This window comes from Homo sapiens, chromosome 3 (genome assembly GCF_000001405.40).
Source record: "Homo sapiens chromosome 3, GRCh38.p14 Primary Assembly".
Lineage (NCBI taxonomy): Eukaryota > Metazoa > Chordata > Mammalia > Primates > Hominidae > Homo > Homo sapiens.
The window spans coordinates 129401246-129428686 of NC_000003.12; the positions used below are offsets into that span (position 1 = coordinate 129401246).

The 27441-nt window shown below is 49.3% G+C and overlaps 1 protein-coding gene across 1 annotated transcript, besides 3 other annotated features; it reads right to left on the minus strand.

Moving 5' to 3' along the window:
• Positions 1 to 75: 75 nt before the first annotated feature.
• On the minus strand, positions 76 to 27391 carry EFCAB12 (EF-hand calcium binding domain 12). The gene is made up of 9 exons (NM_207307.3): positions 27195 to 27391; positions 20122 to 20558; positions 17009 to 17203; positions 14000 to 14156; positions 9913 to 10109; positions 7400 to 7613; positions 3005 to 3158; positions 1278 to 1334; positions 76 to 606 (listed from the first exon to the last, which is right to left on the minus strand). Exons 1-9 carry the CDS (start codon positions 27241 to 27243, stop codon positions 348 to 350), a joined length of 1719 nt encoding a protein of 572 aa, NP_997190.1. The 5' UTR covers positions 27244 to 27391; the 3' UTR covers positions 76 to 347.
• Positions 9538 to 10038: an enhancer, noted in NCBI's record as "H3K4me1 hESC enhancer chr3:129129626-129130126 (GRCh37/hg19 assembly coordinates)". NCBI's record gives its function as "activates a minimal SCP1, AML or CMV promoter by ChIP-STARR-seq in naive H9 embryonic stem cells {active_cell/tissue: H9 hESC(naive)}" and the evidence as "EXISTENCE:reporter gene assay evidence [ECO:0000049][PMID:30033119]".
• Positions 17155 to 17654: an enhancer, noted in NCBI's record as "H3K4me1 hESC enhancer chr3:129137243-129137742 (GRCh37/hg19 assembly coordinates)". NCBI's record gives its function as "activates a minimal SCP1, AML or CMV promoter by ChIP-STARR-seq in naive H9 embryonic stem cells {active_cell/tissue: H9 hESC(naive)}" and the evidence as "EXISTENCE:reporter gene assay evidence [ECO:0000049][PMID:30033119]".
• Positions 23296 to 23345: an enhancer, noted in NCBI's record as "active region_20511". NCBI's record gives its function as "activates an Ori minimal core promoter by ATAC-STARR-seq in GM12878 lymphoblastoid cells {active_cell/tissue: GM12878}" and the evidence as "EXISTENCE:reporter gene assay evidence [ECO:0000049][PMID:35858748]".

A 27441-nucleotide genomic window follows, 5' to 3' on the forward strand; every position in this document is an offset into this window, starting at 1 on the left:
CTGTATTTCCCCAGGCTCAAGGTCTCCCCCCGGTCACAGCTCCTGAGCAAGAAATCACATCAGCTGGGTCACAGGTGAAATGAGAAAAACTCCAACCTGCTTTATGTAGAAAGGGCAGAGGTCAGGGGAGGGAAATAGTCAAAAACTGCACGTCATTCCTTGGACACATCTACCCTCTGAGACACTGGACACTTTGAGTCCAGAGGGAACTGGCCCCCGGTCCATCCCTCTTTGAAAGGATTTCTTTAGTTTGACTCTTTGACACTCCTCTTGTGTCTGGGCTCTGGGCCGCTGGCTGCACTGGCCCCTGGCCCAGGAAGGCTGGGTCCGGCAACACCTGGCTAGCTCTAGTTGATGTAGTACACCTTGGCGGCATCATAATGGGCGTGGGTCATGTAGTTCTTGTTCCTAAGGGGCCACCAGTGGTCAGGGTGGTAGGTGGCTGGGTAGACATGGGGCTGGTGTTGAACACAACTGAAGAGCGCCAGGCTCCGGTCTGTGGCCACAGTGGGCAGGTAGAGCTGCAGCTTATCCAGAAGATGACCCGGCCAGAAGGAATTGGGGTGTGTTTGCTGCAGACCACTGGACCTCTTCACCTTCAGCTTCCTGGAAAACAAGAAGACACAGGGATGGTTGTCATGGCAGACAGGCCAGAGCTGAGGCTTCATCGCAGAGCCCACCAACTGTGACCAAAGTGGAGATTTAGCACTGTGCCAAGCACTTCAGCACCTCAGTCCTCCCCACAGTTCCATATGGTCAGCTCTGTTATCCTGTCGACCTCACCTGTGAGGACCCAGAGGCCTGGGGAGGCCGTCGCACACTGAGCAAGTGGCCAAGTGCAGGCTTCATTCCTTGTCCAATGCCTCTAAACTCAAAGTCTTAAGCGCGAACCATCTGTTATCTGGAGGCATTTTAATGTGGTGTTTGGAGTACGGCCCCTGCAGCCACCCTAGCTGGGTTCAGATCCCCACTGCATCACTTCGTAGATGTGCGACTCTGAGCATGATATTTACCCTGTCTGTGCCTCAGTTTCCTCCTGTGTAAAATGAATATGCTTAGTGTCACTTCGTAGGGCTGTTGGGAGGATCTGAGTGAGTGAACACATGGAAAGCCCCAGAGCAATGCCTCCTGGCCCTCTCTGTGTTGTGTCACTGCCTCTCAGGCCAGGGCACCGAGCCCCAGCTGTTGTGCCAGGAGTGCAGAGTCCCAGTTGTCTCAGGCGAAGCTGCCCCTCCTCCCACCTTCCTTCCTTGTGGAGTTAGATGATTGCCACAGACCTGGTAAATTCCTCAAACTCCTTAAAGCGCATTTTCTTGCTTTTCTTTGGCGTTTTCCTAGTGGAGAAGAGAGAGGCATTTTGTGAGGAGAGTGGAAATCCAGGCCAATGGGGCTTTAGGGAGTAGGTCAGGGCCGCAGGGGTGGACCCGTTTCTAAGTCTCAAACGAGAGCTCTGAAAGAAAAATGTCTTCCACCTGGGGTGGACCCTGACTCTGTGCCTCCATGCTCCAGGGGAACACAGTGGGCTTGGGTCAGCTGGACCTACCCTCAGAATCTGGCCAGGTGACCTGGGCAAGTCACTTCCCCTTTCTCATCCTTGGTTTTCTCATGGTCCAGAATAGAGACCTCTCAGGGTAGTTACGAGGGAGGCTCAGTAAGTCACTGCCAAATCCTTTTGGGGTCCCTGGCTCCTACTCCCCACTCCAGAGCTTAACCCAGCCCTGAGGACAAAGGTGGTGAAATCTAACCCCCTTCCCCTCCAACCCTGAGCCTGACAGACATCACTAATCGTTCACGGCACTCTTTCCCACCCAGCCTCCATCAACCATAAGTAGCAAGATACAGTCAACGTCTCTCCTTGACCTAAGAGAACTCTCTTTATCCTTTATTAGCTATGGCCTACCTAAGCATGGACCAAAATCCCCTTCCTGGGTTCCCAGCCACTTCCTGGCCCACCCCGGGGCTGGAAGGAAGTCACAGCCCGTGTCATGGCCAGGACCCACCTGCAGGCCTGGGCCTACTCCTGCACTTGAAGATGCCCCAACCAGAGCAAGGTAAAACAACGACAATCATTGATTGAGTGCTGTCCCTGCTAAGATGTTGACACTCTTTCTCATCTGATCCTCATAGTGTATGGTAGGAGCTACTAGGCCCCTTTACATATGAAGATGCTAAGACTCAGAGAAGTGCCTTGTCCATTTAACCGAAGGCCTGTCTGATCTCTACAGGGCCCTGCTGTGTCCCACTGCAGGCATTCTGGCCACACACCCAGTGGGCAGCTGGCAGGGGTCTAGAAGCAGGGGCAGGTCCAGGCCCCTCCCACCTCATGGTATCCGGCCAGCTGGGCTCTCCTCCTCCCATGCCGCGCCCCTGCCTCTGCAGGGATGCTGCCTTGTTCCTCTGCAGTCACCCACGGATGCTGCCCACGGGTTGTCACCTGCTGCTTGACTCAAATCTGGGTAGCTCAGGCTTTGGAGTACCAAAGGAGGCCATTTTCTTAGAGAAGACTCAGGTTGGCCTCTCGAAAGGGCTGGAGGCAGGTCCCGGGGAAATGTTCTTTTATCCTCCTATGAGCTGCAAGCCCACCTCTTGCCAGAGAAGGGGTGTGGCCGCTGCAAGGTGGCAGGGCAGAGAAAGGGCTGCCCCCTGTTCTCTGCAGGGCCCTGACACCTGGCTGGGGATTTGTGAAGGCCCTCGCTCCAGCCCTGTTCTCTAAGGAGGCTCTCCTTTTCATCTTTTCCAGAAACCTTATGATTGTGCAGGACTGGGGTCAGGAGGGTAGCTGTGTGGGAGCTGAGGCCAGCAGGCCATGATCCTGAGACATGCGCCAAGGGTGACCCGGGACTGGCCAGTCTGCAGTGAGCAGTCAGGTTGGGGGATGTTGCCCTAGGATGCAGACGCAAGCACAGCATGGCGCCCCAGGTACTCCAGCCTCCAGCCCCCACACTGAAGGGATAGCAATGGAGCAGGAGGCCAAGGCAGGGAGAAAGGGGGTCCGAAACTCAGCTTGTCAGTCCTCTTAGACTTGCCAGGGCCCTGGGACCGGAGCAGAGCCAGATTCGGAGAAAAGACCTTCCAGTCAGAGTAGTAGCCTCCCGGCTGCCGGATGGGGCACACTTTGTCCATCTGGAAAATGATCTTGTCTCCTGGGTACAGCAAGGCTGTGGACAGCAAGAGAAACATCTGCACCCATCAACCCAGACTGCCCATCCCTCCCTAAGCCTCTGGGGTCAGAGGAGGTGTTTTTTTTTTTTTTAATTCACATTTTTAAGACGTTTTCTTCTTATCTATATAGTAACTTTTTATTGTTGAATAGTTGTAGATTCACTGGAAGTTGCAAAAATACTGCAGAGGGGTCCCTTGAACCACTGTCCCAGTGGTGACATGCATATAGCTGTAGTGTGATGCCAGGAAAGGGGCCTTGGGACAATATGGCTCAGGGGACTACAGATGAGGGGGGTTTGTTCATAACAAGGACAACAAAGCCCCCAAGGCCCCGGTGCAACGAGGTCTGAGCTGTCCCAGGAGGCAGGAGGATTTGACCAAGACTTGATGAGGTTAACTTAGACCAATTTTCGGTTTTGTTTTGTTTTTCTGAGCAAGGTCTCACACTGTCGCCCAGGCTAAAGTACAGATCATGGCTCACTGCAGCCTCAACTTCCTGGGCTTAAGCGACCCTCCTACCTTAGCCTCCTAAGTAGCTAGGGCCACAGGCATGCACCACCATGCCTGGCTGATTTCTTAAATTTTTAGTAGAGATGGGTTCTTGTTATGATACCCAGGCTGGTCTGGAACTCCTGGGCTCAAGCCATCCTACCTACCCCGGCCTCCCAAACTGCTGGGATTACAGGCATGAGCCACTGCGCCCAGCCCACTTGGATTTGTTTGGTGGCAGTTTTCTCCTTGTCTTGAATTAATCTCATGGAGATCCTTGGGAGAGTTTTCTCAGATGTGCTGAATATAAAAAAAATACTGAGCCAGGGTCTCCACCTTCTGCAACTATCAAGCAGTGCTTGTCTTAAGCTGGTAACACATGAAAGCTCATGTTCTAGAAAAAGTGATGGAAGTTACGCTCCAGCGAGTTAATGTTGGTTATTTGGGGGTTGGGAAGGGGCTGTGGAGGTGAGAAGGAAGGAGAGGGAAGGGGGAGATATGTAACATTAATATTTTCAAAAGGTACACATGATTTTTTAAAGTGTGATTTAACAATGAGTTATATAAATAATTTTCTGTAAATGGAAAAGGAAAAGAGATTTGTGAAAGGATGGTCACTAAAATATTCACAACAGCCAACTCAGGCTGGGGAATTTTGATTTTTATGTTTTCAAAAAATTCAAATGAGCAAGTATTATCGCCAAAACCAGGGTGGAAAGCCAATAAAGCTATATTCACAGGGGAGGGGGAGACCTTGTTTAGAATTCTGGCTCCTGAGCTTGAAGCCTGGAGTCTGAGCCACCAAGGTCTAGTCTAGAACACAGAGCTGGAAGTCCTGATATTTGAGCCTCTCTGCTTATAGGAGATCAGGCCTCTGTCATAAAGATACCGAATAGCAAGTGGCCAAGACAGTGGTCAGAGATGGATTTGGGCCTAGTCCCACCCACAGGATGCTCCTGTGTGCCCATGAACGTGAGATCCTGCAGACAGGTGAAGCTCACTCATGTAGGAACCCAGCAGCTAGCAGAAGCCAGGGGTGGATGCAGTGGCTCACGCCTGTAATCCCAGTACTTTGGGAAGCTGAAGTGGGACGATCGCTTGAGCCCAGGAGTTCGAGATCAGCCTGGGCAACAAAGCAAGACCCCATCTCTTAAAAAAAAAAAAAAAGTGGCTCGATATTCTGGTGGGGACAGACAAAGAAGCACAGAGGGGAAGACCTAACCCAGAGGAGCAGTCCAGGGCACATGGCAAGCTGGCTGCATTTGAGAAGACAGAGCTGCAGCTCCACCACTGCGTAAGACCATGGTGTAAATAATCCGGAAAGGTGAGGTTCCCCAAGGAAGGAAGAAGGAGGGATGTTTTGGTGAAAAGTCAGCATCCAGAGCTATAGGATCTCCTTCTGTCTCTGCCCTCCCAACCCAGGTAGCACATGTGGGAGACAATGACCACTGAAGTTGCTTGCCTGTGTTCCTGACAGCCTCTGACCACATTCCCCTGTATACACTTGTGATGGGCCAAATTGTGTCTCCCCGAAATTCTTATGTTGTAATTCTAATCCTTAGTACCTTAGAATGTGATGTGTGTGTGCACGTGTGTGTGTATGAGAGAGAGACAGAGAGCGAGAGAGAAAGGGTCTTGCTCTGTCACCTAGGCTGGAGTGCAGTGGTGCAATCTCGGCTAGCTGCAACTTCGACCTCCCAGGCTCAAGTGATCCTCCTACCTCAGCCTCCTGAGTAGCTGAGATTACAGGCACATGCCACTATGCCTGATGAATGTTTGTATTTTTTGTAGAGATGGGGTTTTGCCATGTTGCCCAGGCTGTTCTCGAACTCCTGGGTTCAAGCAATCCACCCACCTCGGCCTCCCAAAGTGCTGGGATTATAGGCATGAGCCACTTCACGCTGCTAGAATGTGACCGTTGGAGGGGGGAGATAAAAAAGGTTGTGACTTCATTTGGAGATTTTGGTGGGTTTTTTTTTTTTTTGACAGGGTCTCGCTCTGTCACTCAGGCTGGAGTACAGTGGTATGATCATAGCTCACCACAGCCTTGAACTCCTGGGATCAAGCTATCCTCCTGCCTTGGCCTCCCAAAGTACTGGGATTACTGGGGTGAACCACTGTGCCCAGCCTGGAGATAAAGTCTTGAAGGAGATGATCAAGCTAAAACGAGGTTGTCCATGGGTGGGTGCTAATCCAATTTGACTGGTGTCCTTATAAGAGAAAATGTGGACACACAAGAGAGACAACAGGTGTGCATGTGCAGAGAAAAAACTGTGTGGAGGCAGCAAGGAGGCAGCCATCTGCCAGCCAAGGAGAGAGGCCTTGGAAACCAGCCCTGCTGGCATCTTGATCTGGGACCTCCAGCCTCCAGAACGGTGAAAAATAAATTCTTGTTGTGGAAGCCGCGCAGTCCACAGACTGGTATTTTGTTATAGGAGCCCTAGCAAACTAATCTAAGAAGACCCAGGGCCCTATAAATTTAGCGCTTGTTTCCCTCCCTCTTGGGAAAAAGATGGTAATAATCAATTGTGACTGTAAAGTCTAGTTCTCACGTAAGTCACACCACTGCCTGTGTGACGTGTTCCTTTCTCAGAAAGCTACATTTCCCAGTATGGCCAAAGTTCCTTCCTAGGCAGAGGTTCCTAGGAGAAAACCTCTGCCCCCAAGTGCAGCTTGCTCCTTCATGTTTTTAAAGCACAGAGAAGATCCTGCCCATTAAATTTATACATTCACCAGGCCGGGTGCGGTGGCTCATGCCTGTCATCCCAGCACTTTGGGAGGCCAAGGCAGGTGGATCACCTGAGGTCAGGAGTTCAAGACCGGCCTGGCCAACATGGTGAAACCCCATCTCTACTAAAAATACAAAAATTAGCTGTGCATGGTGGTGCGCACCTTTAGTCCCAGCTACTCAGGAGGCCAAGGCAGGAGAATTGCTTGAACCTGGGAGGCGGAGCTTGCAGTGAGCCGCAATCGCACTACTACACTCTAGCCTGGGCGACAGAGTGAGACTCCATTTCAAAACAAAACAAATTTATACATTCACCAATTCACAAGTTTGGAATGCAGGCATTGCTAAATTGTCATCTCGGGGCTGGGCCCTTCTCCGCTCCCACATATTAGAAGTGCTCACCCCGCAGAGACACAGTGGGCTCAGACCAGCTTGGATGTATGAAAACGTGTTTTCCACCCAAGCAGAGGGAAGAAGCAGTGTGGAAATCTCAGGGCTGAGTCTGAGTGCTCTCTGCTCAAAGGGCTTTAGCAGGTCCTGTCTCCACGTGCTTTCATACCCCACTGCTTGTTGCAGAAGAACCAGGCAACAGCCTGGCCTAGAGAAAGGCTTTGTTTTGATAGCAGTTATCATTTCTATCAAATATCCCTCTTCAATATTGCAACTCTTCCTTTATGTTCAACCTCAGGGCTTTCTCACTTGGAACTCCTGTCCTTGGAGCTTTCTACTCTAGAATGAGCTTTTGGTTCACCAAGCTCAGGGTTCCAGAATCCAGACCCCCAAATCTCAGTTGTGGAACCCAGACCTCCGGGTCTTGTGTTCTAGAAATCCCATCTAGCAGCAAAACAGACTGGGCTCCTCCTCTTCTCCTCCACGCCCCCACTCCGCCTTATTCCCAATGTCCCCACCAGAGATTACAGTGGCTTGAATGGCTGCATGGGTGCCCTGGGTGGCATCACCCTCACCCCAGCTCTGGGGTTCCCTTGGCATCTTCCTAGGGCCAGCTACCGAGGCCCTTACCTTTCATGAGGATGTCCTCTGTCAGCGGGAGGCCATAGGACTTACAGAGCTTCCAGCATTGCAGGTAGACCAGAAAGTTGTGCCTGCGGGCCGAGTCAATGAGCTCCCTCATATCCCCGTGGATGGTGGACGGGAGGCAGTGCTCATCAAAGTGCCGATTCCCACAGCGCACCAGGTGACATTGCTCCGTGTACTGGATGGAGGGGATCGTGAGCTGCGAAGGAAGCAGAAAGGGGCTCGCCCTTCTCTCGCCTGTGTCCCTCCTCCTGGCCAGAAGAAGGAAGATGCAGTGCCTCATCGACCTCTCCCCTGCGAGGTCCCCATGAGGGGTGATGGCAACCAACGTCCAGTGGGGCTGCAGTTCCGGTTCTGAAGTCAGTGAAGACTTCAGGTTCAGAAGCTCAGGTTCTGAAGTCACAGCCCTGTAGACGGGTGTGCAGGAGTGCACACATGACTGTGTAACATATATGGTAAAACACAGTACACATGCCCTAGAGGCGTCCTATTGAAAAAGGACATTCGCGGGGCCACAAGATGGCTCACACCTGTCATCCCAGCACTTCGGGAGGCCGAGGCAGGAGGATAACTTGAGCCCAGGAGTCCGAGATCAGCCTGGGCAACATGGCAAAACTCTGTCTCTACAAAAAAATTAGCTGGGCATGGTGGCGCGCGCCTGTAGTCCCAGCTTCTCAGGAGGCTGAGGTGGAATGATGGCTTGAGTCCGGGAAGTTGAGGCTGCAGTGAGCCAAGATCAAGCCACTGCACTCCAGCCTGGGCAGTAGAGTGAGACTGTCTCAAAAAAAGAAAAGAAAAGAAGAGAAGAAAAGAAAAGTGACATTTAAATTAGGAGTAGCCATCTGTGACCTTGAGGTGAAAGCCATGAGCTAAGATAGGAGGAGGCTGGCGGAGCAGGTAGCTGCTTTTGTTGGCTGCCACCACCTTGTTTTTTAACAAGGAAAAAAAAACCCTAACTTTTAAAGCTTCTAAAACCAGAATCAGCAAAGACCAGCCCATGAGCCAAATCTGGCCCACCAGCTGTTTTTATAAAGTTTTGTTGGAGCACAGCCACACTCATTTGTTAAGGTGCTGTCTGTGGCTGCTTTCCTGCTGCAACACAGAGCTGAGTAGTTGCGACAGACAAGACATGGCTCACCAGGCCTAAAATGTTTACTATCTGGCCCTTTACAGGGGAACTTTGCTGGTCCCTGCTCAAACATTTTGGGTTTTCTTGTCATGCAACTGAATCAAATCTTAGTAGATATAGCACTTAGCAATATCTGCCATTTTATTATATGTACAAATACAAATATTATAGGTATAAATACAAATATGTATTTTTAATTATATATATATTTGTGTTTATTTATTTATTTTTTTTTTTAGAGACACGGTCTCACTCTGTAGCCTGGGCTGGGGTGTACTGTGCAGTAATAGCTCACTGCAGCCTTGGCCTCCCAGGTTCAAGCCATCTTCTGGCCTCAGCCTCTTCAGTAGGTGCAGCCACAGGCACATGCCACCATGCTGGCTAATTTTTTAAAAATTTTGTGTAGAGACGGGGCCTTGCTGTGTTGCCCAGGCTGGTCTCAAACTCCTGGCCTCAAGTGATCCTCCTACTTTGGCCTCCCAAATTGCTAGGATTACAGGCATGAGCCACTGCACCTGGCCTGTATATAATTTTTTTTTTTTTTTTGAGACAAGATCTTGCTCTTTCCCCTCGGCTGGAGTCCAGTGGTGCGATCTTAGCTCACTTCAGTCTCAACCTCCTGGGCTCAGGCAGTCCTCTCACCTCAGCCTCCTGAGTAGCTGGGACCACAGGCACATGCCATCACCCCAGGCTAACTTTCTAAATTTTTTGTAGAGACAGGATCTCCCTATGTTGCCTAGGATGGCCTCGAACTCCTGGGCTTAAGCAGTCCTCCTACCTTGGCCTCTCAAAGCGCTGGGCTAACAGGTGCGAGACACCACTCCCAGACTATATTATATATGAATATTTATATGTAGTATTGTATTGATGTTGTCTGCCTCCCTTACCAGACTGTCAGCTTCCTAGGGGCAGGGACTGTTATGCTTACTATAACACCCGGAAGAGTGCCTGGCACATGGTAGGCTCTCAATAAATGTTTACTGGACAAGCTAATTCATGCAATCAATCCTTCCTTCACTTGCCATGTATTTCTGGAGAGTCTACCCAGTGTCAGGCCCTGTGCCAGGTGCCTGGATTCCAGCTGTGATGAAAATGCAGGCCTGGTCTAAGGATGAAAAGTCATAATTAAAGAATAGGGAGAGGGGGACGTGATAGTTTCAGAAACAGGATCTTACTACATTTTACAAAAACCTCAGGAGGCAGGTATTGTTCTTATTTTACAGATGAGGGACGTGAAGAAGGGGTGGTTGTAGAGGCGAAGACCCCCCTCCCCAGGGTTCTGCAGCCAGCGGGTGGTGCTGCTGCGGTGATCTGAACCCCAGCTGCTCCAGTCCCCAAGCCGCATGCTCTCCTTGGGCTGGCGAGGTACCTTGTGCTGTCGCTGCCGCTCGCGGTACCGCTTGCCCACTTCCTCCATCTCCTCCAGGGTCATGGGCCGCGTCTCCATCTGCGTGTCGACTGCAGGCACCGTCAGTAGGTCCACTTTGGGAAGCTGTGGGGCTGAATCCACCTCCTGCTTCTTGAGCGGACCCTTCAGGGAATCTCTGTGCTTGGCCAAGATATAATCTGGAGTCAGAGGGAAGAGATGAAGGAAGGAGGGACTAAGAGGGTGCCCAGCCACGGAACCTGCCAAGCAGTTATCCAGTGTCACCCAGCAGGCACCAGGCCACCCCTCCGCTCCCTTCCCACACGTCTGGGCAGTGCCCACCTAAGCCACCTAAGCTGTACCTTAGATGTGGCCCTCCTCTCCATCTCCACTAATGGCGTCCCTTACTGCACCAACCCCAGCCCTCTGGTTGCCATTCTCGTCCTGTCACCCTGTCTCACCAAGCAGCAAATAGGATCTTTAAAAAATATAGAGTATAGCCAGGCGCGGTGGCTCACGCCAGTAATCCCAGCACTTTGGGAGGCCGAGGAGGGCGGATCATGAAGTCAGGAGATCGAGACCATCCTGGCTAACACTGTGAAACCCCGTCTCTACTAAAAATACAAAAAATTAGCCGGGCATGGTGGCACGTGCCTGTAGTCCCAGCTATTCGGGAGGCTGAGGCAGAATTGCTTTAACCTGGGACCTGGAGGTTGCAGTGAGCCGAGATCGTGCCACTGCACTCCAGCCTGGGTGACACGGTGAGACTCCCTCTCAAAAACAAACAAACAAAAAATATAGAGCAGGGTACTTTGGGAGGCTGAGGCGAGTGGATCAGCTGAGGTCAGTAGTTCAAGACCAGCCTGACCAATATGGTGAAACCCCATCTCTACTAAAAATACAAAAATTAGCCGGGTGCAGTGGTGTGCACCTGTAGTAGTTACTTGGGAGGCTGAGACAGGAGAATTGCTTGAACCCGGGAGGTGGAGGTTGCAGTGAGAAGAGATCACACCACTGCACTCAAACCTGGATGGCAGAGCAAGACTCCATCCCCCCCCAAAAATATATATACACATATATAAAGCAGGGTGCAGTGGCACGCCTGTGGTTCTAGCTACTCAGGAAGCTGAAGTGGGAGGATTGCTTATGCCCAGGAATTTGAGGCTGCAGTAAGCTATGATCACACCTGTGAATAGCCACTTCACTCCAGCCTAGGCAACATAAGGAGACCCCATTGCATGAGTCTCCTTATGTTGGATATGTGTAGATGGATGGATAGATAGATAGATAGATAGATAGATAGATAGATAGATAGATAGATAGACAGACTGACCGACCGACCAGATCGCCTCATTCCCTTGGCTTCCCACAGCATTTAGACCAAAACCCAGAGTCCTCTCCCTGGGCTACAAGGCCCTGCTGTACCATCTGGCCTCAGCTGCCTTCCCACCTGGTCCATGGCATACCATTCACCCTTCACCCATTCCACCCAGCCACCCTGACCACCTTCTGTCTCTTGCAAGCTATCCTACCCCAGGGCCTTTGCCTTCACAGTTCTATCTGCCTAGATTGTGCTTCCCCCAAGACTAGTTCCTGTCAATCACTCAGATGTCAGCTCCAATGTCTGCTTCTCAGAGAGGCCGTCCCTGACCACCAGCCCTTTAGGTGCAAGCTCATCGAAAGCTGGGGCTTTGGCTGGCCCACTGCTGTGTTCCCAGTTTCTAGAAGTGGCACATAGTAGTTGCTCAACAAAGATTCCAATGAATGAAAGAATCCCATTGTCCCTGCCCTGGTTCAGACCTTCATCGTCTCAAGCTGAAATAATATCCTGACCTTACCACCTTCTATTGAGGCTGTGAACAAGTGGCTCAGCCTCTCTGAGCTCCAGCTTCCTCCTCGTAAAGCAGGAATAGCAATCCTGACCTCTGCGGACATAAAGGATAAACTGAGATCATTCTGCAAGAATGAAGAAGAGCTACTGCAAGAAGAACTACTGGAAGAAGGCACCCCTGCCAAGACGCTCAAACTCTTGCCTCTTTAGACAAAGTGAGAGACACCCGGACAGAGCAGGAGCACCGTCATCTGGGACAAACACCGCCACTTTAAGTTCCAGCTCCCTTTCTAGCCTCATGCATTTCAAGGAAATCACTTCTCTTCTAACTATAAGCAGCCAGAAAGAGCAGACAGTAAAACACAGACAAGACAGCTCAGGCACAGAGGGAGGTCGGGGGAAAGTCTCTTGGGTGACTGCCAAACTTCACCCTCATACAATGGGCCCCAGTAAAACTGTGGGCCTTAATAAGCACATTCCTTTCCCTTCAGGTGCACTAAGATAGGGAAGCTAAAAGCAGACTTGGGGGATATGCCTGCAGCTGCAGAAAGATGTATGGAAACAGACACGCAACTCTGCCTCCCAGATAAACACAACAAAGAGACAGAGAAGCAGTCCAAGCCTCTGATAAACTCTTCCACTGTGAATCCTTAAAAACTCTTAGTCTGTAAGAGAATGTGGCTCTGACCTAACTCAGCCAGCAGCCCCTCTCAGGTTTGTTTTCTCTAAAATAAACCTGTCTTTGACTATTGAGCCACCTTTCCTGTTTCTTTCCTCTTTCTTTAATTCTTACACACCCCAGTCTACCTATCTTACCCACTATTGCTCACCAGGGAAAAAGAACTCAGTGATGACGCCAAAGTAGCACCATGAGAGCAAAGGTCTGCTGCTTGGCTTTGTGTTTACTTACTGGGAAATAACAGGACCCAAAATATCTCTGCTGCGAATATGCATCACAGCACACTGTGGTCATTGAAATGACTCACAGCCAGCTACACAGATAATGATAAGCTTGGTAATTTATAACAAAAAGGCACAAAGAGTATCAGAGGGAAAGCAGCCCAACTTGAGGTGACCTTAAAAATGTGCTGGACATAAAGGAGATTACTACTGTTGGGGTGGTGACACATGCAGGAGCGACTGTTGGGGTGCTGAGCTTCCCTGAGCTCTGAGAGAGGCAGAGACCCTGCTTGGGAGGTGATAGTTTCTCTGCAGGGCAGCTGGTTGAGACTGGACATTGAAAATCTCCTGGAGGACTGAGGAATGGATGCTCTGAGCTGCCTGCTGTCCCCAAATGAGCCACTCCAGTGAGGATGCTGAGTAACTCCTCTTGGTGTGACTGTAAACTCCAACGGCCTCACCCCAGATCTTTACCATTGTTAGGAAACCCCTCCACTGCCTCCTCCAGGGCTCCTGTGTGACTCAGGGAGGACAAGGAAGCCCCAAACATGCATGAGATTAAGTTCCTGCCAACCTGGTAGATGGGAACAGAGCAAGATTTGTTTCATTTAGAAAAACAAAGCTGTGGCTATGTTTGGGAAGGGTGCTAGAATGGGTGGGTGGTTGTAATGGTTCTTTTTTGTTTGTTTGTTTACTACAAGAATGGTACTAAGATATAAAGAAATATTATACAATGCACCTTTGTGTTGTAGAGTAAATTCACAGCCAGAGCTTTAGCAAGTCCATTTCTAATTTGCCTCTGTGCCTTGTCTGGACAGATGTGGCCCCACAAATGTATTGCTTGGCAGATGGAACTTGAGCCATGTACAACCTTTACAACTGTTGACAGCAACCCTGCCATAATACCCCTGATAGCAGAATACCAAAATACACTTTCCAGTAAACTGTAAACATGTGCTAATTCTGGTTCTGAACAAGAATTTTATCAATAAGCTATGGATTAATAGTGAGGAGGCCTTGGACCCACACACACATAAATGTCTCTGGAAAGGCTTGCCATTTGGGTCAGTTCTCAGCCTCTCAGGTGGGCTCTGGTGGGCTGAGTATCCTCCTCTAAGAACAAGGGCTGGGACTCATTTGTCTTTGAATGGACACAGTGGTAGCTGGGCACTCAAGGGAATATCTACTCCTTAGTTAATCTCTGGGCCTGAAAATTTCCAGAGGCTTGGCCAAACCACAGTCGGCCAAAACTGGGGAACACACTGAGGAAGTGAGTTTGGAGGAGAGGCCAAGGCTGCCTGCACCATGCTTGCTCCCAGGACGGGGAGGTGGAGGCACAGGATGGGGAGGGGTACGCACGCTCCCTTGCAGTGGCCAGGCTGCTCCTTTGCTGAGCCATAGACCACTGCTTGTAGGTATTGGCCAGGATATCCATGGTGATGGTGTTGTGCTTCCCAAGAGAGCTGAGGTAGATCACTATATCCTCCACCTCTTGGTTCTTCAGAGGGACTCCGACCTGAGGAGAGAGAAGACCTTCAGACTAGCAGGCTCCCATCCAAACATCCTGCTCTGATGGCCAAGGCCTTACCAGCCTCCTCAGACCCCCATCCTGCTTCCAGTTTCATCCTCAACCACTCCCTACTATACCCAAGGTCCCTGCTGCAGCTCAGAGCCCTTTCCCGGTCCTTGAATGAACTCTGCACTTTGTTACCTTTGCCTTTGCTCAGGCAGTTCCCCTTCTCTGCCTGAAAAACTCCTATCCCTCCTTCAAAGTCCAGTCCAGATGTCACCATCTTTATAGAGTGGGTTTCTTCTTCCTCTAGGGTCCCACCCCACTTCCTACCAGTCTCAATGGCAGCATCTACCATGCTGGATACGAAGCATGATTTCACATGTGGATCATCCCTATACACAAGTAACACATAAATCTCCCTTAATTCCTGGAAAATGGGATCAAGAATACTATACTCCTCATTCTTTTAAGGACGATGAGCAACTCTGGAGGTGTATAATGCTTGCCAGCAACATTGGATATTCAAGAAGAAAAGTTTTAAAGGAAATATGATTTTGTTCTTCAGTTTCTTTAGACAATAGTCATTGTTCACTGAACTTTACTCAAACTCCTGGCCTCAAGTGATCCGCCTGGTTCGGCCTCCCAAAGTGCTGGGTAAACAGACATGAGCCACTGTGCCTAGCCTTGATCAGAACTAACTTGATCAGAGCTAAGTAAGATCAGAACTCTCCTGGTGCTGGCTGGACGTTGTGCCTCACGTTTGTAAACCCAGCACTTTAGGAGGCCCAGGTGGGTGGAATGCCTGAGGCCAGGAGTTCGAGACCAGACTGGCCAGCATGGTGAAGCCCCATCTCTACTAAAAACACAAAATTAGCCAGGCATGGGGACACATGCCTGTAATCCCAGCACCCAGGAGGCTGAGGCAGGAGAATCCCTTGAACCAGGGAGAGGGAGGTTGCAGTGACCCAAGACTGTGCCATTGCACTGCAGCCTGGGTGACAAGAACGAAGCTCCGTCTCAAAACAAACAAACAAACAAACAAACAAACAAAAAAATGAACTCTCCTGGTGCTAAAGAATGTAATATTTAAACTTTTGGTTATGGAGATTAAAGACTATTATCTTTAAATGCTTTGAAATGTTGTTGAGATAATTACATGTCATAAAACATGTGTGAGAAAACTGATAATAATTTAAAACCACGAAAGACATCACAGTCAACTCCCTAAAGTTGTTTAAGGTATTTGTTGTCGTTGTTTGGGTTTCTTTTAAGTTGAGATCTTGCTCTGTCACCCAGGCTGGAGTGTAGTGGTGTGATCATAGCTCACTGCAGCCTCTAACTCCCGGGCTCAAGTGATCCTCCCATCTGACCCTCCCATGTAGCTGGGACGACAGGTGTGTACCACCACACTGGGATAAGTTTTTTAATTTTTTGTAGAGATGGGGGTCTCACTGTGTTACCCAGGCTGATCTCAAGCTCTTGGCCTCAAGCAGTCTTCTCACTTTGGCCTTCCAAAGTGTTGGGGGATTACAGGCATGAGCCAGCATGCTAGGGTAAAGTATCTTGCATTCAAAATGTATAAAAACGTAATTCATCTAGACTAGGGTTAGCAAGTTAGCAAGCTTTTTCTATAAAAAGTCAGATAAGGCCAGGCGCAGTGGCTCATGCCTGTAATCCCAGCACTTTGGGAGGCTGAGGCAGGTGGATCACAAGGTCAAGAGATCAAGACCATCCTGGCCAACATGGTGAAACCCCTTCTCTACTAAAAATACAAAAATTAGCCGGGCGTGGTGGTGCACGCCTATAGTCCCAACTACTCGGGAGTCTGAGGCAGGAAAATTGCTTGAACCTGGGAGGCGGAGGTTGCAGTGAGCCAAGATCGCACCACCGCACTCCAGCCTGGTGACAGAGTGAGACTCTGCCTCAAAAAAAAAAAAAAAACCAAAAAAAAAAAACCCAAAACCAAAAAAAAAAAAAACTAAAAACAAAAAACCTCAGATAGTAAATATTTTAGGTTTGGCTAGCCATATGGTCTGTGTCATACTGCTCAACTCTGCCATTGTAGCATGAAAGCAGCCATAGACAATTCAAGGATGAATGAGTGTGGCTGTGTTCCAATAAAACTCTATTTAAAAAACAGGAAGCAGGCTGGACTTGTCTCTTGAGCCACAGTTTGCAGACCTCTGCTAGGCCGATACAACTTTCCATGATGATGGAAATGTTCCACATCTGTGCAGTCCAGTAGAGGAGCTACTTGCCACATGTGACTACTGAGCACTCAAAATATGTGGCTGGTGTGATTGAAAGACTGGATTTTTAAATTTATAATTGATTTAAATTAATAAATAGCCAGTGAAAGTAAAAGTGTGGTCCATAGACCAGTACTACAGGCATCACCAGGAGCTCGTTAGAAATACAGCATCTTTTGATGACCCACAGATGTGCTGGGTCAGAAGCTGCATTTCGACAGGACACCCATGTAACTTATATGCCAGTGACAGTTGGAGACACTCTACCAGCTTTCTCTGATCTTAGTTTTGGGGTCTGCTGTGCAAGACAGGGATTCTCCAAGGTAGCTGGCTGGTTATGAGGTGGACTCCACAGACTTTCCACTCAGGTGGGGGTTTTCAAGGTCAGACTGGTGCGGGGCAGATATTGAGGATCTGATTTGGCCACAAGTTAATCCATATTTTCTAGCCTTAATAAGTAATAAGGCTGACAGTTTGCACTCCTTGTGTCTACTTCTCAGTTGAACCAGAACCCAGCATGGCGGGGGAGGGGCGGGGGTGGCAAAGAGGGAGTACATGTACATCCTGCCCACTTAGGCCCATCCAGAGAAAGCAGGTGGCACTTACTGCCTTTACAGCCGCGATGAACTCCTCCCTGGTGATTCTCTGGTTCTCACCCTGGCCCACCTTGTGAAATATCTCCAGGATCTTGATCTTGCGGCTATGCAGGTAGGAGTACATGACCGACAGGGCAGGGGGCTCGGGCAGCTGGAGCTGGGGCACCATCTGGCGGGACAGCCGGGAGAGCCTGGGGGCTTTCTTCTGGAAGAGGTGAGAGGGTAGGGCAGAGGAGAGAGTTCAAAGGAGACAGGCCAGGCGGATGCAGTCCCCAGAGTTAGGGACTAAGGAGAGGACGAGCAGCTCTAAATAGCAGGATAGAGTACAAAGGGCACTGGGTTCAGGGCAACTGTGTTTGGCCACAAAATGCCTGGGAGACTTTGCTTCTCTGAGCCTTGGTTTTCTCATCTGAAAAACACAAGGCTTGGGCAATATAGGAACTAAAATTTCATTCTTATCCACATCTCTCCTGTCAAACCAGTCAGTATGCGTAATCCCACTGGTCTGGTCTCTCAGTGCACCAAAACCTATACCCTTCCCTGGAGCCAGGTGGAGACTCCCCATCCCCGCCCCCAGCCTTTGCATCTGCTATAGGCCTCCTGCCTGGAAGACTTTTCTCTCTTTCTCTATCTGTCCAAATCCTCCTTCTCCAATTCCAAGTGAAAGGGCATATTTTGTAATGGATGATAATCTTCTACCTTGGTGCAGCACTGGGCAGTTTACAAAGGGCCTTCCCATTCCCTAGGGTATTGTTCCTCTGTGCTCCTCCCAGGGTGCTTATTATAATAGAGACCCACCTCTATTAATGGCCTGTAGCAAACTGTAGAGCCATTAATCCTATGTGTCTGCCTCTCCCACTAACATGTGAACACCTTGTGCTATGGCTTAATGTTTGTCCCCTCCAAAATACATGTTTAAACTGAACATGACTTTTGTTAAGCCACTTGGCACATGTGACTATTGAGCACTCAAAATGTGGCTGGTGTGATTGAAGGACTCCATTTTTAAATTTATAATTAATTTACATTATTAAATAGCTAGCAAAAGTAAAAGTGTGGTCCCGTGGACCACTACCACAGGCATCACCAGGAGTTCGTTGGAAATGCAGCATCTTTTGATGATCCACAGATGGGCTGGGTCAGAAGCAACTTAATACTGTTATCAACATAATGGTATTAACAGGTGGGGCCTTTAAGAGGTGATTGGGTCATGAGGTGTCTGCTCTTATGAATCCATTAATTCATTTATGGATTAATGGATTAATGGGCTAAGGATTAATTGGTTATCATGGAAGAGGGCTCGTTATCATGAATGGGATCAGCTAGAAAAGCCAGTTTGGCTCCCTCTCGTGCACCCCCTCACCCTGAGATGCCTTCCACTGTGTTAGGATGCAGCACGAGGCCCTCCCTAGAGGCCAACCAGTCAAGCCTTCAGATGACTGTGGCCCAGGCCAACATCCTGACTGCAACCTCATGAGGACTTTCAGCCTCCAGGACTGTGAGCCAAAAAAAACTCTCTTTTCTTTATAAATTACCCAGCATCATGTCTTCTGTGACAGCAAGAGAGGCCAGGCTAAGACACCCTGGAAGTAAGACCGTGTCTTATTTACAGTGTATCCCCATCTCCCACCTTTATACTGAACAAAGCCCAGGCCGTAGGAAGACAGGCAGTAATTGTTTGCTGAAGGAATAAATGATCCTATGAATTAGGTATGAGGTACTACCTAATTCACAATAAGGAATCAGGCTCAGAGATGTGAAAGGTTTTCCCAATGCCACACAGCAGGTAAGCAGTACAGCTGCATTTCTAACCCAAGTCTAGTTCTTATTCTTAGACACTATGCTGCTGGCAGAAGAGGGTGTGTTAGACCCATGAAATTAGGATTTGGGCTATAATAACAGCAAGGACTGACCCTGAAGTTTCCGGGCCAACCAACCCAATGGACACTTGTGAGATTACAATAATAATACAGATGGAAATCATGTTTGAGTGCTCACTATGTGCCCAATAGCGTCCTAGGCACCTTATATAAATGAATGCATTTAGACATCATAGCGACCCCAGGAGGTAGGAACAATGGTTGTCTCCATTTTATAGATGAGAAAACTGAGACCCAAATGGTACAGCTAGGAAGTAGCAGAGCTATGTTTAAACCCAACTTATCTGTCTTCTTATCCCAAGGAAATGTCACAGAGAGAGAATGAGTTGGTAGTACCCTTATCACTTACTATCACTATATGTTTGGATAAATGTTGGCCTCACTGAGCTTCTATTTCCACATTTGTAAAAGGGGGATCCTCCTTTTCCTCCCAACCTCACAATCGTCATCCTCACAATAGCTTGCTACATGGAACCCTCAGCAAACTTGTGTCAATGAACAAATGAATGAACAATGGGTATTTTAAATACCCCATAAGATGGACTGCCAGGATGATCCCTTTTGGGGTGATTTTAAGGTATGTCCACAAACTCTTCTGCTTCCCTCCTTTCTAAGATGGAGTCTTCTTTCCTTCTTGAGCATGGGTAGTACTCAGGGACTCACTTCTGACAAAGAGAATGTGGTGGAAGTGATAGTGTGGAACTTCTGAAACTGAGGCCTTCAGAAGCTAGGTCTGAAAGGGCAGCCTCTGTCTTGCTCTCTTTTTTGGACCCTTCACTCTGGGGGATGCCAGCAGACATACTGTGAGGACACTTAAGCAGCCCTATGGAGAGGTCCATGTGGGGAGGAACTGAGGCCTCCTGCCAATAGCCACATGGGTGAGCCAGCTTGGAAGCAGATCCTTTTGCCCCAGTCAAGCCTTCAGATGACTGTGGCCCAGGCCAACATCCTGACTGCAACCTCATGAGAGACTCTGAGCCAGAGCGACCCAGCAAAGCTACTCCCTGATTTCTGACTCTAGAAACGGTGTGTGATCATAAATATTTGTTGCTTTCAGTCATTTGGGGGTGTTTGTTATGCAGCAATAGATAACTAGACAACTAATACACCTCCCTCTCAAGACTTCTGTTTGCTCCTCTGTGAAATGGTGTGAACTATCCCTATCCAGCCTAACCCAAGGGAATAAAATAATGATGCATCCCTAAACCCTTGGTGTCTTCATCTGGCAAATGGGGCTGCTCACCCTGGTGGTCCTGGTAGTTGCCTGGGAGGCATTTGGCTGGGCACTCTGCTCCTCGTGGATCATGTGTAAGACCTTGGCCTCTGAAGGCGTGATGCTGGGCTTGTTCTCCAGCCACCTCTTTACATCACCAAAGGACTCTAGCTCCTGCCGCAGCTTCGACCTCTGGCTCAGCCAGGTCTTCCTGTCCTCTGGCTGCTCTTGGATATCTCTAGCTTCCAGAACTTTGAAGCTGGGGATGGGCTTTGGGGGAGCCTGAGGTTGGGATGCAGGATTAAGGGGTGTCTGATCCTCCTTGCGAGGCACCATGATGATTCGCCGGCGGGTCTGAGGCAGGCGGAAGTCCTTCTGCTGGAACTGCTTGAAGCAGTGGGCAATGACCGGTTCAGGATCAAAGACGGGAGCATTTTCATTGATGGGAGTCTTAGACGGGCAGAGTCCTTGGGGTAAGAGAGTTAAAAGATGAGTTTCTCTCTGGAAGAGGACTGAAAGGAGCCAGGAAGGAAAAACACTTTTGCTCCAGGCTGGGCAACAGGGCCCTGGATCCCAGGCCAGGCTTTATCATTGTCTTGCTGTAATCGTAAGGATAATTTCATCTAATGTTACCGGGTGCTCCCAACAGCAGGCAGCAAGCTAAGGGCTCTATATGCTTTCTCTTATTTCATCTTCTCCATACCCAGCCCCCAACACCTCCCATTGGCAATCAGAATGAACTTTTAAAGATGCCAGTCTGATCTTGTGTGATCATCTGAGGCAGCACAGTATTAAGAGCAGAGGCTTTGGGGCCAGAACGTTCTTCGGTCTGAGTCCTGGCCCTGCCACCTACTGGCTGCATGATCTTGAGCAAACCACCTAACTTCTCTGTCTCAACCTCCTCATTGGTAAAATGGGCATAATGATGGTAACCTATTTTATCGGATGGGAGTGATGTTAAAATCAGTCAATTTATTAGAGTTGCTTTGTACATAATATATCTGCTATTATTGGTATATACTCACCATGCACTCATTTTGAAGCCCTTCCATGACTTTTGATAACCTTAAAATGAAGTCCCGGGCCCCTCTTCTGTCAACCTGTCCCCCTAATCCCTTGCTTCTCTTCCCTTACTATGTCCTGGATGCCTGGGCTTCTCTCTGTTTGCTGAGTGGTCCAAGCCTCATCCTGACTAGGGGTTGGCACGTGCTCCTCCCTCTAGCAGGAGTGCTCCCTCCCCATCCACACCCTGGGCACTCTTCCTTATCCTCCAGGTCCCATCTTTGCATCACAACCTGCACTTTCCTTCAGACCACTTATCACGACTGGGTACAACAAGGGCTGAAAACTGGTGGCCCTCATGCTGAATGAGGGCTGAGGTCTTGTTTTGTTTGACAACTTGCTTGATATTTTTCAATCTGAGCTACTTTGGGCTGAGGCATTGCCCTCTCCAGCTTGCCACAGGCTCCCCCATTCCTTTTTGTCTCACAGGCAGCTCATTTTCTTTATTAAGTCCTCGGTTTGGGCAGCAATTTGCCTTTGAGACCCCTGGTGCAATTATTTGGTTCATGTTTATTTTTTCTAGTAGACTATGAGCTCCATGAAGACTGTAACCCTATCTCTCTTGTTCCTGACTGGAGCCCTGACACCTCCACAGTGTCTACATATAATGGGAACTCAGTAAATATTTGGTGAGTGAAAAATGGACAGACCTATGATGCTGGTACTATGATTATGCCCATTTTGCAGATAAGGACATTGAGGCCTAGAGAGGCCCAAGGTCACTCAGTTGATTAGTAGCAGAGCTGAGACATGAACTTCAGTTTGTCTGGCCCCAGAGCTCGGCTCTTAGCTGTTACTTGATATTACCCAGGGCTGTCACCCAATCCTGCTGAGTCTCAAGTATTTTACTTCTGAAATGATATAAACTCTGCTCTATCTACCTCTTGAAGTTGTTATGAAGATCAAATGAGATAACAGTTTGGAAGTGTTCTAAAAAATCAGAAGGGGCCAGGCATGGTAGCTTATGCCTGTAATCCAAGCACTTTGGGAGGCTGAGGTGGGAGGATTGCTTGAGCCCAGGAGTTCAAGGCCAGCCTGGGCAAAATAGTGAGACCTCATCTATACAAAAAAATTTAAAAACTAGCCGGGCATGGTGGTGCACGCCTGTAGTCGCAGCTCCTCAGGAGGCTGAGGTGGGAGGATCACTTGAGCCTGGGAGGTCAAGGCTACAGTGAGCTGAGATTACCCGCATTGTAATCCAGCCTGGGCAACAGAGACCCTTTTTCAAAAAAATTTAAAAAAATCAGAAGGGATATAACAATCTTATTGGAAATACTGTCACTGTCATTTTCCTCCTAAAACCCAAACTCCCTTGCTTAAAACCTGTCCATGGCTCCTAACTGCCTCTAGAGTAAAGTTCAAGCTCCTTAACCTGGCCCCACCTGGTCCTCTCACCCCTACCAGCCTCTCCGATTTCTCTGGCTCCTTCTGCCTTCCCTTACGTTTGTATCCAAACAGATCTGCCCCACCAACACACACAAGCCATGCTGTTTCCTCCCTGTGACATGCTCTTCTCCCTCCCTGCTTCACTTCTTGATCCCTGACTCACCCTTTGAGACTCAGCTCAGGCATCCCGGCCCCTTGAAGCCCTCCCACTCCCCTTCTCATGGGCCCTCTGGGTCCCATAGCCCCCACACTTAGTCCCATCATAAGCATTTACCATATTTTTCTGAAATGAAGATACTTTCTGCATCTTTCTTTCCCAACAGCCTGTGAGTTTCCCAGTGACCAGGACTGTGTCTTAGTTCCCCTGTGTCCTCGGTGCCCAGCCTGGCCCAAAGTGGACATTCAGTACATTTGTTAAGTCTCTTTACAAGGCCCATGTGTTCCTTTCAGAGTCAGCAAATAAGAAAAGTAAACATCATGGTATGGTTTGCATCTGTGTCCTTGCCCAAATCTCATGTTAAATTATAATCCCCATTGTTGGAGGAGGGGTCTAGTGGGAGGTGATTGGATCATGGGAGAGGACGTCCCCCTTGCTGTTCTCATGAGAGCGAGTGCTCACAAGATCTGGTTGTTCAAAAGCATAGCACCTCCCCCTGCTCTCACTTCCTCCTTCTTGGGTTATGTAAGATGTGCCTGTCTTTGCCTTCTGCCATGATTGTAAGTTTCCTGAGGCCTCCCCAGCCATGTTTCCTGTACAGCCTGAGGAACTGTGAGTCAATTAAACCTCATCTCTTTATAAATTACCTAGTCTCAGGTAGTTCTTTATAGCAATGCTAGAACAGATATTACACATCAATAGGGATGGAAGCGAACACTTCTAAACAACACATGTATCATTACTTTGACCACAAGAAAGTTCATTCCCAGCAGGGGATGACTGAGAATGTAGTCATTCATCAAATCAGTATTTATTGAGAATCCCCCAGGGCTTGGTGCTGAACCAGGTGCAGATTAAACTAGGCTGGGCACCTACCGTGGTTCACCTGTTCTCAGTCCACCCAATGGAACAAGGTGGGGCACCCAGAGGGTAACAAGATGTTCTCAGTTGGGGGAGAAATGCTGACTGTGGGACCTGGGAGGGCATCAAGGAAGAGGTGTCTTTGATGTGGACCTTCAAGAATGGTCTGGCTTCATGGGGTGGAGGGGCAGGGATGGGGAAAGGTCAGGAGTGGGATTTGGGGATTTTAGGGTCACCAGACAGTTCCACATGTTGGAAGCCCACTGTGTGTAAAGGAGGAGGTTAGTGGGAAATAAGGTTGGCGTCATCTCAAATGCCAGGCTAAGAGATTGAAACTTTACCCTGCAGGCCACGGGAACACAAAACCTGCTCCCCACAGGTCTTGCTGCTCCCATTTGGGTCCTCCCTAGACCCCCAATCCATGTTCTGCCCTCAGCCAGGAGAGCCTTACAAATGTAAATTCACAGTCTGTCCCTTCCCCATTTGAAACCATTCAATGGATTCTTAGTGCTCTTTGAATAAATACCCGCCTCCTTCTGTGGCCTACAAAGCTGCCTTCACTGGCCCTGCTCCCCACTCTTCCCTTGTCACCTCCCAGCCCCCGCCCCCTCACTCATGTGGTCCCAGCTGCTGTCCTCCTTTCTGTTGTCTGAGGTGCCTTGTTCCTTCCTGGCTCTGGGTTTTCAGTTTTTGCATTTGCTGTGCCCTCTGAAGAGCACTGCATTCCCCAGGGCTTCCCCTGGCCGAGTCATTCTCCTCACAGTTCTAAACCTGCACCAGCCCCTGACCCCACTTTCCAAGGGTGCCTGCCCACCAAACCTCCTCAGGGAGCTTCATTCTAGTGCTCTTTGGAGTCCTGTGTCCATTGACAGAAAGGGAAATGGGCTCTTATAATAAAAGAGGCTGTCATTGTGTAGTTATGGGTAGAGACTATGTGACAATGTTCCTAGGAAATTGGCAAGGAAAGCTCTCAGACGCCAGCTAGTTCAATCACCTGCCCAGGTCAGGGACACTCTCCTCAATGCCACTGGCAGACTTTGCCTCTGTTTATACATCTCCTGTGACGTGGAACTTTCTACTTAACATGGTGGACACTAAACTCTGACTGCTAGAAAATATTTCCTTATATTGACCCAGAATTTGTTTCCCTGGACTTTCTACCCTTTGGTTCTAGTCCTCCCCATGGATGTCCCAGAAAACACACTTGTTCTCTCTTTTCTCAGACAGCCTATAGGTGTCTGGAAACAATTCTACTCTTTCTTGAAATTCTCCCTGCTCTTGGCTTGATTCAATCTCTTGCTATGTCCAATTCTACCTCTCCGGCTATTGTTTTTGGGCCCCTCTTTTCCTGATTACTCCTTAAAGGTTGTTGCTTCCAGGCTTATACCCAGGGTCTCTTCTCTTTTTAAATAATCCCTTCCATTCTCATGTTTCTATGACCTTCTGTATGCTGGGGACATCCATACCAATATTTTTGACTTGGAATTAGCTCCAAGTTTATACCTCCAGTTGTTCCTAAAACATCTCCACTTGGATGGCTTACAGGGTTTTTTTTTGTTTTTTTTTTTTTTTTTTTTTTTGAGACGGACTCTTGCTCTGTTTCCCAGGCTAAAGTGCAGTGGCACGATCTCGGCTCTCTGCAAGCTCTGCCTCCCGGGTTCACGCCATTCTCCTGCCTCAGCCTCCCGAGTACCTGGGACTACAGGTGTCTGCCACCACGACCGGCTAATTTTTTGTATTTTTAGTAGAGATGGGGTTTCACTGTGTTAGCCAGGATGGTCTCGATCTCCTGACCTGGTGATCCGCCCACCTCAGCCTCCCAAAGTGCTAGGATTACAGGCGTGAGCCACGGCGCCCGGCCGGGGATCTTTTTTTATTATTTATTTTTAATTGAGACAGGGTCTTGCTCTGTTCCCCAAGCTGGAGTACAGTGGCTCAATCATAGCTCACTGCAGCCTTGAACTCCTGGGCTCAAATGATCCTCCCAGCTCAGCCTCCTGAGTAGCTGGGACTACAGGTGCATGCCATTAAGCCTAGCTAACCTTTTTTTTTTTTTTTTTTTTGAGATGGTGTCTTGCTCTGTCACCCAGGCTGGAGTGCAATGGCATGATCTTGGCTCACTGCAAGCTCCACCTCCCTGGTTCATGCCATTCTCCTGCCTCAGCCTCCTGAGTAGCTGTGACTACAGGCGCCTGCCACCATGCCCGGCTAATTTTTTGTATTTTTAGTAGAGACGGGGTTTCATTGTGTTAGCCAGGATGGTCTTGATCTCCTGACCTCGTGATCCACCCACCTCAGCCTCCTAAAGTGCTGGGATTACAGGCGTGAGCCACCCCACCAGGCCTGGCTAACTTTAAAAAACAATTTTGTAGAGATGGGATCTCACTATGTTGCCCAGGCTATTCTCAAACTCCTGGGCTCAAGCAATCCTCCTGCCTCAGCTTCCCATAGTGCTGGGATTACAGGCGTGAGATACTGTGCCCAGCTACTGACAAGGATCTTAAACTCAACCAACCAAGACTGGATTTGTCTTTGTGCCCCTTCCCCCACTAACTGGGTCCTCTGAGTACGTTCTCTTATCTCTGTGGAAGACATCTCCATCTACCAGGTCCCCCAGCTGCCAACTTGAGAACCATCTTTATTTGCCTCTTCTGTGTTTCCTGACCAACCAGCCCCCAAGTCCCGTAGTTCCCTCTAGCCTGGGCCTTCTCCCTCACCTCCCAGCATCTTTAGCTTGGGCATTTGACCAGAGCCCTGACCTGTGTGCCTGGGAAAGGTGGCCAGCCTCTCCAGCTCTCCCTGTTTCTCCACTGGGCATTAATGTGTTCAGTGCTGGAGAAGCGGCATGGAGAAGACCTTCAGTCTTCAAGCTTTATAGCCCCCAGCTCTCATCTCCCCACACCAACATTCTGAGTCTGCCAACTCAGTCTCAGGTCTTTTCTGACTGCTCCCAATCCAGTCCTGCCACTCCCAGTGGCCTCTCCATCTCCTGGCTTGCAGTATCTTTTATGATCTTGTCCCTTCTGACCTCTCTCACCTCATTTCCAGAGACACCAGACCTCTTGGGTCATGCTGTTTCCTTGCCCGAAATGCTTTTCCTTCCCCTTTTGGCTTGGAGAACTCCTTTTTATCCTTTAAGCTCCAGTGTAAAGATCTTTTCCAAAAGCTTGGAACTGTTCCTCCCCATCCCATACCCTCAGCACACCTTTTACTCCTGGGTGTCATCCCTGGGCCCGGCATTTACCCCTTCTTATTCTGTAATTATCCATTTATCTCTGTCCTTTACCCGTGAAGCTGCATTGCTTTGCCAAGAACTTGGTCCCCAGCACATTACTGCCAAAACCTTGAAGACTGACGTCTTCTCCATGCCTCTCCTCCAGTACTGAATACATTAATGTCCTGCAGAGAAACAGGGCGAGCTGGAGGGCTCCCGTCACATGGGTCGGGCCTCTGGTTCCTCCAACTAGGCTCAGATAGAAATCTCAGAAATGTACATGACCTGCCCCCGACTCCATGGCAACCCTTCACCCAGAGGGGGTCGGCACAATATCTGTGGCTGAGTTTTTGCCCTCACCCCACTTTCACGCGTCCTTAGGGCGCTGAGCGCTCCCTGCAGACGCTTCTTCCCGGGGCTTACCGAGCAGCGACAAGAACAGACTGTGGTACGCTTCATAGTCGTCGTCCATGGTCGTGGTGCTGGGAGGGGGTGCTGAAGGGCGTGTGTGAATGTGTGTCGATGTGGGCTTGCTTGCGTAGGGGTACCGGGGTATCAGATAAACCGTAACTCCAAGTCGTGCGAAAGGCGCTCAGCTCAGACTGCAGAAGCAACCTGTTGCCGTGGCTACGGACGCCCCGCGCCAATTGGCTGAGCGCTGTCACGTGTT